At 40.5% G+C, this 12,669-nt stretch overlaps 1 protein-coding gene across 5 annotated transcripts in view; it reads left to right on the top strand.

The window, feature by feature from the left end:
• Positions 1 to 12,669, top strand: part of TESMIN (testis expressed metallothionein like protein) — a 46,725-nt gene that overhangs the window by 21,470 nt on the left and 12,586 nt on the right. Inside the window, exon 5 of one of the 5 annotated variants that reach the window (XM_047427924.1) lies at positions 6,591 to 11,828. The exons of the other annotated variants lie outside the window; for them this stretch is intronic. Within the exon in view, the coding sequence (XP_047283880.1) occupies positions 6,591 to 6,603 (13 nt within the window). The 3' untranslated portion in view covers positions 6,604 to 11,828. Of the gene's footprint in view, positions 1 to 6,590; positions 11,829 to 12,669 lie in introns of those variants that run through there. 5 annotated transcript variants of the gene reach the window in all.

The raw sequence follows: 12,669 nt of genomic DNA, 5'->3' as shown, positions 1-12,669 counted from the left end.
GGTCTTGCCTTAATGTCGTGGCTATTGACTGTTGAGGGTGGTGGAGGACTGAAGGCTGGGGTTGCGGTGGCAGTTTCTGAAAATAAGACAACAATGCAGTTTGGCACATCAACTGACTCTTCCTTTCAGGAAAGATTTCTCTATAGTATGTGATGCTGTTTGATAGCATTTCACCCACAGTAGAACTTTCAAAATTGGAGTTAATCCTCTCAAGCCCTGCACTGCTTTATCCACTCAGTTTATGGAATATTCTAGATCCTGTATTGTCATTTCAGCAGTGTTCAAAGCATCTTCACCAGGAGCAGATTCCATCTCAAGAAACTGCTTTCTCTGCTCATCTGTAAGAGGCAATTCCTCATTCATTACAGTTTTATCATGGTAATGAAACAATTCAGTCACATCTTCAGGTTCCATTTCTAATTCTAATTCTCTTGCTATTTCTACATCTGCAGTGACTTCCTCCACTGAAGTCTTGAACCCCACAAAGCCATCCATGAGGGTTGAAATCAACTTTTTTTTTTTTTTTTGAGACAGAGTCTTCCTCTGTCACCAGGCTAGAGTGCAGTGGCATGATCTTGGCTCACTGTAACCTCCACCTCCCAGGTTCAAGCCATTCTCCTGGCTCAGCCTCCCAAGTAGCTGGGATTACAGGCGCCCACCACCACGCCCAGCTAATTTTTTGTATTTTTAGTAGAGACAGGGTTTCACCATGTTGGCCAGGATGGTCTCAATCTCCTGACCTCATGATCCGCCTGCCTCAGCCTCCCAAAGTACTGGGATTACAGGCGTGAGCCACCACGCCCAGCTGGTTAGAATCAACTTCTAACCTCCTTTCAATGTTGATATTTTTACTTCCTCCCATGAATCATGAATATTCTTAATGGCACACAGAATGGAATAATTTCCAGAAGGTTTTCAATTGACTTTGCCCAGATCCATCAGAAGAATCACTATCAATAGCAGCTATAGATTTATGAAATGTATTTCTTAAATAATGAGACTTGAAAGTCAAAATGACACCTTGATCCATGGGCTACAGGATGGATATTGTGTTTGCAGGCATGAGAACAATATTAATCTCCTTGCACAGCTCCATCAGAGCTCTTGGGGGGCCAGGTACCTGGTCAATGAGCAGTAATATTTTGAAAGGAATCTTTTTCTGAGTAGTAGGTCTTCACGGTGGACTTAAAATATTCAGTAAATCATGCTGTAAACAGATGTGCTGTCATTCAGGCTTTGTTGTTCCATTTGTAAAGCACAAGGCAGAGTAGTTTTAGCAACATTCTTAAAGGGTCTAGGATTTGCAGAATGGGAAATGAGCATTAGCTTCAACTTAAGGTCACCAACTGCACCATATCCCAATAAGAGAGCCAGCCTGTCCTTTGAGGCGTTGAAGCCAGGCATTGACTTCTCTTCTCTAGCTGCAAAAGTTCTAGGTGGCATCTTCTTCTAGTAGAAGGCTGCTTCATCTACACTGAAAACCTGTTGTTCAGTGTAGCCACCTTTATCAGTGATCTCAGCTAGATCTTCTGGAGAACTTGCTGCAGCTTCTCCATCAGAACTTGCTGCTTCACCTTGTACTTTTCCGTTATGGAGATGGCTTCTTTCCTTCAACCTCATGAACCAGCCTCTGCTAGCTTCCAATTTTTGATGTACAGCTTCCTCACCTCTCTCAGCCTTAACGGAATTGACAAGCATTAGGGCCTTGCTCTGGATTAGGCTTTGTCCGGTTTCATCTTCTCTCCAGACCTCTCAGGCTTGCTTCATGTCAGCAGTGTTTTGCTTTCTTATAATTTGTGTGTTCACTGGAGTAACACTTTTAATTTCCTCCGAAAGCTTTTCCTTTGATTCACAGCCTATCTTGGCTTTCGACATGCCTTCCTCACTAAGCTTAATCTTTTGATTTAAAGTGAGAGACGTGGGACTCTTCTTTTCTCTTGAACACTTAGAGGCCATTGTAGAGTTGTTAACTGGCCTAATTTCAATATTGTTGTGTCTCAGGGAATATGGAGGCCTGAGGACAGGGAGAGAGACAGGGAACCGCCAGTTGGTGGAGAAGTCAGAACACACTCAGCATTCATCAGTTAAGTTCATGTTCTTACATGGACATGGCTCGTGGTACTCCAAAACAATTGCACTTAAGTTCGTGCTCTTATATGGATGTGGCTTGTGGTACTCCAAAACAATTACACTTAGTGACATCAAAGAACGAGGATTGCAGATCACTATAACAGACATAACAGTAATGAAAAGGTTTGAAACATTACAAGAATTACAGGAATATGATAAAGAGACATGAAGTGAGCACATACTGTTGGAAAAATGGAGCCGTAGACTTGCTTGATGCAGAGTTGACACAAACCTTCAATTTGTTTTATTAAAAAAGCATTACCTGTGAAGCCCAATAGAACAAAGTGCAATAAAATGAGGTTTGCCTATAAGTGTTAAATTATACATTTTTGGACAATTATTTCATAGAGTGAGAAGGAGCACTGTCCACTAGGATGGAGAGAGGTCTCTTCCTCTCAGAAAAGCAGGAATTGGTTTTATACCATGAGTGTAGATATTTTTTAGGACAGTTTTTTTGTTTTTTTGTTTTGTTTTTGTTTTTGACACAAAGTCTGGCTCTGTTGCCCAGGCTGGAGTACAGTGGTGTGATCTTGGCTCACTGCAGCCTTCACCTCCCAGGTTCAAGCAATTCTCGTGCCTCAGCCCCCTGAGTAGCTGGGATTACAGGCATGCATCACCATGCCCAGCTAATTTTTGTATTTTTAGTAGGATGGGTTTTCGCCATGTTGGCAAGGCTGGTCTTGAACTCCTGGCCTCAAGAGATCCGCCCACCTTGGCCTCCCAAAGTGCTGGGATTACAGACATGAGCCACTGCACTCAGCCTTTTAGGACAGTTTTAATTAGCCCTTTCATATATTGATTGACTTTAAGAAAATCCAGACTCAGTTTCATTTCATTATTTTTTTTTTTTTTGAGACAGGATCTCACTCTGTCACCCAGGCTGGATGAATTGATATGCAAAGGTGGTATGATCATAGCTCAATGCAGCCTTGACCTCCTGGGGTCCAGCAATCCTCCTGCCTCAACCTCCTGCTATCACAAGCCAGCTTTTTTATTTTTATTTTTTTTAGAAATAGGGTCTCATTATGTTGCCCAGGCTGGTCTCAAACTCCTGAGCTCAAGGAATCCTCCCACCTCAGCATCCCAAAGTGCTGGGATTACAGGTGTAAGCCACTGCACCCAGCCCAAACCCTAAAATTTCAGGCATAGATTGTACAGTCTGTGATATTGTTTCTTCACGTGGCCTTTTGTCTCTAATTAACTAGATTAATTATTGCCACCAGAATTCTGTGGAGTAGAAGGTGAAATCTGGATGGTCATTTTTTTTGGTAGTCTCTTGTTGCTTACTCACACTTTTGATTTCTTATTTTAAATTTAAAAATATGAAATAATTATCTTCTCTGTAGCTCATAACTATAGTAAAGTCTCTGTCTCATTCTGTGTTTGTTTCATCTCTTGAATTTTTCTCCTTATGGCTTGGAACCTCACATATTTTGTGATTTTTTTAAACTGCGAATTATAATCACTGGGGCTTTCCCTGTGGGAGTTCTTTGAGGCTTGTTTTGAGAATGTGCTCTTCAGAGAAGGTTTGTTTGCTTCCACTTGGAGCTTGGTGGCACTTCCAACTTGGATGACTAACAATTTTTGGCTAATTTTTTTTTTATTAGGCTGCACAGTATGAATTCAGATTTCAACCTGAAGTGAGCCTCCTCCCCTCCCACCAGCCAGGATCACACACACATTTCCTTGCCATTTGTTTTCAGGGCATTTGTTCCCAGAGTAGATAGAGCCCTCCGCAGTTCTGGTCCATGTGTGGATCCTGCAGCAGACCTTCTACCCTGAGTGTGCCTTCGACTGGGGTTAATATACGTAAAGCACCTAGAGCACAGCCCAGCAGATCACACATGTCCTTGTAAGTGTTTGCCACAGTTAGGGTTGCCATAGTTCCCCCTTTCTCCTCCACGCAGCAGTTAAAACCAGCGCCTTTGGTTGCTGGGATCAGCAGATGCTTCAGAGGTCACTTCAGGCTTCAGTTTTAGCTTGGCCCTCTGAATTTTGCCCTCTGTTGGGTTTCCTTAATTTTTTACCAGCTCAAGTAGCCATCTAAAAGGTTTTAAATATTTAATTCAATGTTATTAAGTGTTTTATAGCAAGCAATATGTCAGGATGGCCAATGAATTAAGAATGAGTTTAGAATATATGTCATTGAGCTGGGCATGGTAGCTCACACCTGTAGTCCCAGCACTTTGGGAGGCTGAAGCAGGAGGATTGTTTGAACCGAGGAGTTCGAGACCAGCCTGGACAACATAGTGAGAACCCGTTTCCAACAACAACAACAACAAAAAACTGTCATTTTAGGTCTTTTCAACCACCAAGACTAAAATTTCATGATTCAATATGCCTGTGGGAAGTGAATCTGACAGAGGGTATCATGAGTATTTCCTTGAACAGTATCATCACCCTCTCAGCAAGCCACAGGGCAGGATGACCCAAAAAGTGTTGCAGTGTTGCCAGTGTGCCAGCATTGAGGCAGTCTGCACCTCCAGGACAGCGTCTTTAATGGAATGATGCTCACTGCAACCTAGATCAAGGTGGGATAAATGTGATGTTAGAATTTCTACTAAAAGTTTTACATTTCTGCTTTTGTCATTGAGCTTTAAATCACCTGGAATTGATTTTCGTGATTGGCATTAGGTAGGGATTCAATTTTATTTTTTTCCATACGGACAATTAATTGTCTAGCACCATGTATGGCAAAACACAGATATAGTCCACGATATCTGCAGTGCAGCCCCGTCAGCTCTCAGGGTTTGATTACACATGGGTCTGATTTGGGGTTCTCAATCCCGCTCCAGACATGAATTCTGCTTCTTATTTGTAATGATTTGTCTGTGGATTTCCTTCAACTTTCTATTTAAACAATGATCTTATCACAGATATTGGACCGTGATACCTTCCCCATCTTTGTACTCTTTTCCCTTTTCCTTGCCTTATTATACTGGCTAGAACCTCATAGTGATGAATGGAAGTTCTGGTCTGGGGCACTGTTGAATTCCTCCTAAATTCTAAATATTTCTAAAATTCCCTTGCCTTGCCCTAAATAAGATAGTTGCTGTAGGTTTTTGAGAGATGCCCTTATTAGGTAGAATACATACTCAGATGCTATAACAAAGACTCAAAACTACAACCATTTCAGGACTAATATGGTGGCTAATCAATGTTATTGTCTCAGATTTCTGTCTTAGTTGCCCTGACATCTTCAATGGAGGGCTTGCATTTTGTGGTCTAAGAAGGCTGCACCAGCCCCTACCCTTATGTTCATCTTCCAGACACTGGGGAAGAGAAAACAGGAGGGCAAGTGCACACTCCTTAACCTTTCATGGCAAGACCGGCATTGTCATAATCACTTCCACTGATAGCCCTTTGGCCACAGCCTAGTCATGTGGTCGGGCCAACTAAATAGGAAGCTGGGAAATGCACTCTTGAGGTGAGCCAACCATATGCTCCACTACAATTGCTGCCACTGTAGGATAAGGGGAAGTGGCTGTTGCAGGACTGACTGGCTTCTCTGCTACGTGCCCTTCTCAGGTTAAGGATGCTTCCTTCTATTCCTAGTTTCCTAAGGGATTTGCTATTATTATAATTATCGGAATTATAATAAAGGACTGGTGAATTTTATTGAGTGCCTTTTTATGTATTTGTTGAAATGATCAGATTGTTTTCCTCTTTTAATCTCATAATATATCTATGACAACAAACTTTCCAATGTTAATCTGCCTTTGCATTCCAGGGATTAAGCCCAATTTGATTATTATGTACTGTAAGATTTCGCTCTTTAGGATTTTTGAATCTTTGTTCACAAGTGAGATAGACCTGTAATTTTTCTTTCTCATATATTCTTTCATTTTGGTATCAATATTGTATTGCCTAATAAAATGCGTTAGTTAGGCTTCCCCATCCCCACCCCACTGGCTTCTTTTTCTCTAGCCTCTAAAAAAGTTTGGGTAAGGTAGGATTTATTTGTTCATTGAACGTTTGAAAAAACTTGTCTGAAAAACTGTCTGGGTCTGATGTCTATTGGAGTTGGAGTGGTGAAGGTGATAGGTTACTCATTCACTTTCTTTTGTAGTTTGTTTTCTTTTTTATGTTTTTTCTTGAGTCAATTTTGATATTTTATATTTTTCTTAAAAAGTATTGAATCCTCAAAACTTTCAAATTTATTCATATATTCGTATTCATATATTCTATATTTAAAGATGACCTCTGTATCTATAATTATGGCCTTTGACCTTTTCTAGACTTTCTCGATCAGTTCTAGGAGAGGTTGTCTATTTTGTCAGCCTTCTCAGAGCACCAGCTTTTGGTTTTATTGATTTTCTTGGTTGTGGTTCATGAAGTACATTAATTTCTGCTTTTTACTGCTGTCTTTATTATTTCCTTCTCTTGTTTTGCTAGCTTTTTGTGTTAACTGCTTACCTTATTATTTTCAGTCTTTAAATTTTTTTTTTTTTTTTTTTTAGGAAATGCACTTAAAGCTGTAAATTACCCCTATGGACTACTTTACTGCATCCTACAAGAGTTGATATGCAGTACTTTCACTATCATCCGCTTGAAATAGCTTGTCGTTTTTATTGTAATGTTCTCTTTACCTCATGAGTTATTTAGATGTACATTTCATAGTGTCCACATTTGTATTATATATACATATATGTGTATGTATATGTATATATTTTTAAATGATATTTTAGTTAATTCTTTTCATTTAATTACTCTGTAGTTAGATAATGTAGTCTGTACGTCAATTCTTTGAAATTAATGAAGACTTCCTTTAATGAAGACTTAATACAATCAATTTTGAAAATATTCTATATTAATTTGAAAAACATGTATATTCTCTATTTGTTAGGGGCAGTTATCTATCCATTCACTGGCTTATTTTGTTGTTTAAATCTGCTAATTGCTTATTCAATTTTGTGTGATTTTTATGTTTTTGCTAAAAATGTGTTGAGATCCCTCACTTAAGATTATGAATTCGTCTCCTTTTTCCTTATAATTCTATTTTGCTTTATATATTTCAGATCTATAGCATGAAGGTCATACAAATTCATGATTGCTACATCTTTTTGGTGAATTATTCCATCAGTTGTTAATGACTATGCCTCTGTATCTTGGCGCATTTTGCCTTCAGTTGTTTTTCTGTCCGACGGTAATGTTGCTGCACCATGTTTTCTTTCTCTAGTGCAGTATTAGTGAGTTATGCTTTATAACATTCCTTTAGTTTTGCACTTTCTGTGTGGCAGTTTTGTTTTAGGTGTGTCTTCTGTAGGTTAAATATAGCTGAATTTTTCAAAAAAGCAAATCTAATAACCCATGTTCAATAGCTTTCTTTAATCTATTTGCATTCTTTGTCTGATTATTGACACATAGGGACTTATTTGTAACAACTTTTTTTTTTTGAAGTTTTAAGTTTTATTTAGGTTCCTTTTTCCCATTCAGATGGCAGCATTCCATACATTCTGCTCTGTGCCTTGTCTTTTAAGATAGTGGCAAAATATGCATAACATAAAATTTACTGTTTTAAACTTTTAAAATATACAATTCAGTGGCATGAAATATATTCACAGTGTTGCGCAACCACCATCACTGAATTTTTCCAGAACTTTTTCATCATCCCAAACAGAAATTCTATACCCATCAAACTCTCCATCATCCCCTTTCCCCAATCTCTGGTAACCCCTATTTTACTTTCTTTCTTTTGACTATTCTAAGTCCTTCACATAAATGGACTCATACAATATCTGTCCCTTTGTATCTGGCTTAGTTCACTTAGCATAGTGTTTCTAAAGTGCCATCCATGTTGTAGCATGTGTCAGAATGTCCTCTCTTCTTATGACTGCATAATATTCCATTGTATGGATGAATCACGTTTTGTTTACCCTGATGCTGCAATGGACACTGATGTAGCAGGTATCTGGTTGAGTCCCTGCTTTCACTCCTTTTGCGTACATACCCAGAAGTGGAATTGCTGGATCATATAGTAACTTTCTGAGGAACTGCCGTATCTTTCCATAGTGGCCATACCATTTTATACCCCCACTAGGAATATACAATACCATCTTATTTTGCATTTTCTGATTACTGCTTTTTCGCTTGCTTATTTTTGCCTGATTTATGTTTTGGAAAATTAGTGCTAATGGCAAAGTGGAGGAAGTTGAAAGCGAGGTTAATTAGGAGGCCACTGCAGCAGCACAGACCTGAACCCGGGCAGGGGTGGTGACAATGAAGGAAAAAACACAGATTCCAGAGACTTTTCCAACATATGCATTGTATCATTTTTTCACTCATTTATTCATTCATTCCATAAATATTTTTGAATGCCCATGATCTCAGGAACAGGGAAGACAGAGTGAGCAAGAGAGTTACGGTCCCTGCCCTCCCAGCACTCACAGTCTAAAGTGACTATTCCCATATGAATCATCATGTAATTAAAGGTCGGAGTGGAACCATGGAAAATGTGGCAAAGGAGCAGTAATGGGCTGAGGGGGTGGGACGTGTTGAGCAAGCATGGCAGTCGGGGAAGGCTTCCCTGAGGAGGTGTGTTTGGATTAGGGGGAGTTCATTGGGTGGAAGTAGATTGAAGGTGGATGCTAAGAGTGTTGTAGGCAGAGGAAACAGCAGGTGCAAAGGCCCTGTGGCAAGAGAGGGAGGGTGGATGGTTCTAGGAACAGAAAGAAGACCAACACCACTACTATAGTATTGTTTATATTTCCAAGATATATAAAACATCTACATGCTCAGTATAAAGTGAATTATTAAATAAATCAAGGTGCTGCTATAGTATGGGGTATGTACAGCAATTAAAATGGTATGTAAATCTATTTACATGGGAAACATTCATAACATACTGATGAGTAATAAAAGAAAGATGTTATCTTTATTACTTCTATTGATAAGTAATAAAAGCACACTGAAGCAGTTTGTAGAATATGATCTTATTTTTGTTTACATATAATCTGTAACCAAACAACATATACTTATTTCAGTATGTATAGTTTTACAGAAAAAGTCTGAAATATATTCATCAAATGATCATCTCTAGGGAATGAGATTCAGATTGGATGTAATTTGTTTCTTTTTACTTATTTGTATTTTTAAAAATTCCACAATAAATATGATTTACATTTATCAAAAATAAAATTAATAAAAGACATTTCTGAGCCAGAATCAGTAGATTTGGCAACCCTTGGATGTGGGGAAACAGAGCAAGGTAATTGTCAGAACCAACACAGGGGCTGTGTTACTGGGCAGATGGTAACACCATGGATGGAGAGCAAGCACAGGAGGAGAGAGTGGCTGGAGCAGCACGAGGGGTGCAGATGAAGACCGTGGGTGAAGGGGTGGACACGCTGAATTGAAGATAGAGATTTCTGACTGGAAGCTGGGATGTGGTTCTGGAACACAGTAGGGTCTAAAGCTCTCAAGAACAGTGAAGAGAGCCCTGGGTTTTCCAGGAGCTGGTTGATTGCCTTTGAGAGTCTGTGGGCAGGAGGAGGAAATCTGAACGCAAAGGTTAAAGAATGAATGGGAGATGAGGAATGATAAGAGCACATGTGGACAGCCCACCCTTTCATTATGTTTGGGAAATAAAACAATAAGGATTTTAGGGTCTGGAGTGTGGGAGAGAGAGCAGGTTTGGTGAAAACAGATTTTAAAATCTTCAAAAGATTAAAAGGGCAAGAGTTAATAAAATCAGTCAGCAAAAGAGTGTACGGTGAAAAAAAGAAGTGTGCCTAGCCTGGACCTCGGTGAGTAAACATACTTTTACTGGGTATGCAATTCTAGGTTGTCAGGTTTTTTCTGCCAATGCTTTGAAAACAGTCTGCTGTTTCCCATTATTTCTAACAAGCAGTCAGATGCAAGTCTAGGTAATGTATCTTTCTACTCTAGTGCATTTGAGATTTTCTTTTTGTCTTTGGTTTTTCTTTTTGTTTGTCTTTCTTAGAGTTCATTAGGTTTCCTAAATCTGAGCATCCACAGTTATCATCAGTTCCGGAAAACTCACAGATATCCTCACTCCAAAGATGCCTCTCCCCCATTTTCTCTCCTCTCTCCTTCCGTAATGCTCACCAGACAGACACGTTAGCCTCTCTAACTCTTGACTGTTTCTCTTAACCTCTCTTGTATATTTGCAATCTGTCTTCTGTGCTGCATCTAGACTAATTTCTTTATCTTTTATTCTGTCTTACTCTCAGTTTATTATTTTTATCCAAATCACATACACATATAATTTAGAGAGCCACATAATTGTACCAGGCTCATGACAAAACATAGTAGTACCCTGACAATTGTTCCTTATTTTCTGACCCCCAGGAACTTTCAACTCTTTTAACTGAATCTTCTAATATTTGCTTCCATAAGTCTAAATAACAGGTCTGAATTACTCCTCGGCTTTTCAGTTTGGTGTGATCTATTGTTTTTGTACTGTGGGAAATGTGGATTTAGCTTTATTTCCTCTCCCACTCACACACCAACCCCTACCAACACACACATTTCCCACACCCAGACATGAGATAGACTTGGTTAGATTAGCATTGAGTCTTTACATTTTTATGACGATGAAAACTCTGGTCCCTGCTGAGCCTTCATGAATTATCCTTTCCTGAACTTCTTTACCTTTCCCTTTCTGTTCATACCCAGTACTTAGTCTTCTATGCACACAACACTAACATAACACTAACCTCTCCTCTGGTTGTGTAACGGTCTTCTCAACATGCCCAGAAGTGGGGGCACTGTCAGTCCTGTCGTGAAGGCTTTTCCTGAGCTGCCTGGCCTGGCCTGCCATGGAGGGGCTGGTTTCCAGGCCTGTGTGCAGCTCTCGTCTTGGACCCCCCTCTACTATCATGCTAAGGGGTTCACCAGCTTCTTTGTCATGTTTGGGCTCCTGACTCCTGGAGCCCGCATCTTCCTTGTGGGATTCACAGCCTCATTTTGGTGCAGTGCCTTCTCCAGTAGCTTCCATGAGGAAGAGTACATGGGATGTAATTTCTTCAGACCTTACGTGTCTAAAAATGTCTTAGTCTATCCTCATGCTTAGATGATAATTTAGATTGGGAGTATAACTTCAGGTTGGAAATGGTTTTTCTTTGGACTTTTGAAGGCCTTACTGCATTTCTTCTAGCTTCCAATGTTGCTAGTGGAATTTTAACATCATTGTTTTTCTTGATCCTCTGTATGAAAACTGTTTTATACTTTCTAGAACCATAGAGGATCATCTCTTATTCCCAGTGCTGCAGAATGTGCTCATGCTGTCTTGGTTCCAGTCTCTTTCCTAGCTACTGTGCAGAGCCCAAGGCAGGTCCTTTCCCTTCAGAAACTCATGGCCTTTAGTTCTGGGAAATGTTCTGGAATTATTGTATCCCCTTCATTCTTAATATTCAGTATTTCTGAAATTCTTACTATATAAATGTTGGATTTTCTAGTCTGGCCCACTGTTGCTTTCTCCTCTGATTAGTTCTAGTTTTCATACCTTCTAGGTCTTTCATCACTGTGATTACTTTTTTGCTTCCTAAAATATCTTTTTTCATATCCTGAGATTTTTAATAAGAATTATTTTCCTGTTTCATCGATCAATAACTTTTCTTAGTCTCTCTAAGGCTGTTGATACCACTTTCCTCCTAGTTTTCTTTTCCATGCATGGTCCGTTTCTCTGGGCCCCTGTCTTTCATACTCTGGAAGATTTCCTAACATGTCTGTGGATCCCTGGGCGTCACTCTGCTCATACTTAAGAATGAGGTGTGGGCTGACTGGGGGCTGCAGGTGAGGGGTGGGCTGACCGGGGGGCTGTAGCTGAGGAGTGGGCTGTCTGGGGGCTGTAGCTGAGGTGTGGGCTGACTGGGCCTGCAGGTGCACTGCTGAGGGCTTGGTCACTGTAGCTTCACCACAGGGTGGTCACTTAGCTATTTTATTGGGAAAGCTCAATGTCAAATTCTAGATATTTTCTCCTGGGCTGGTCAGAGTCCTCAGAGGAGGCTTTTCTAGTCTCCTGCTAGAATGCTAGAAGCTGAGTAGAAGAAACCTAGGGGTCTCAACAATCACTTTTCTTGGATTTGTTCATTATCATATCCCACGCCCAATGGTTTTGCTCCAAGAGAGTCACTTTTAGTCTCTGCCACGGTGGCAGGGGGGTCCCAGCTGCTTAGGAAGGAGGAGTCATCTGGGGACTCATGCCTTCCTGCAGAGAATCCCCCTGGTTCTCTTCTTATCTCACCTGGCTTTGCTCTCCCTTGGAGGAACCTGGTGCTGCCCATTCCAGAGCCTTCCGAAGCTCCTTCCCAGCTCTTTCCTGCTGACTTCAGGTTCAGCATTCTTGAGTCTGCCACGCCAGTTCTCTCGCCCCTCTGCTATCTGGTGTCCAAATCTTCTGTCACTGTCCCCTTTCCCTTCTTTCCATCTGCGTGGCTTGCAGGTTCAGGAGAGACCTCTATAGTTCCCCTTTCTCCCTGCAGGGGATGTGTCTCTCCTCTCCCCTGTTGTGGAGTGGAGTTGTCTCTAATAATTCACTCCTTGGGGAGCTCGCCTTTCAGGGATCCACACTTTATG

Source organism: Homo sapiens, chromosome 11, assembly GCF_000001405.40.
Source record: "Homo sapiens chromosome 11, GRCh38.p14 Primary Assembly".
In the NCBI taxonomy this organism is placed as follows: Eukaryota; Metazoa; Chordata; class Mammalia; order Primates; family Hominidae; genus Homo; species Homo sapiens.
The sequence above is the reverse complement of the archived record's forward strand: the minus strand, read 5'-3'. Positions and strand labels throughout refer to the sequence as shown.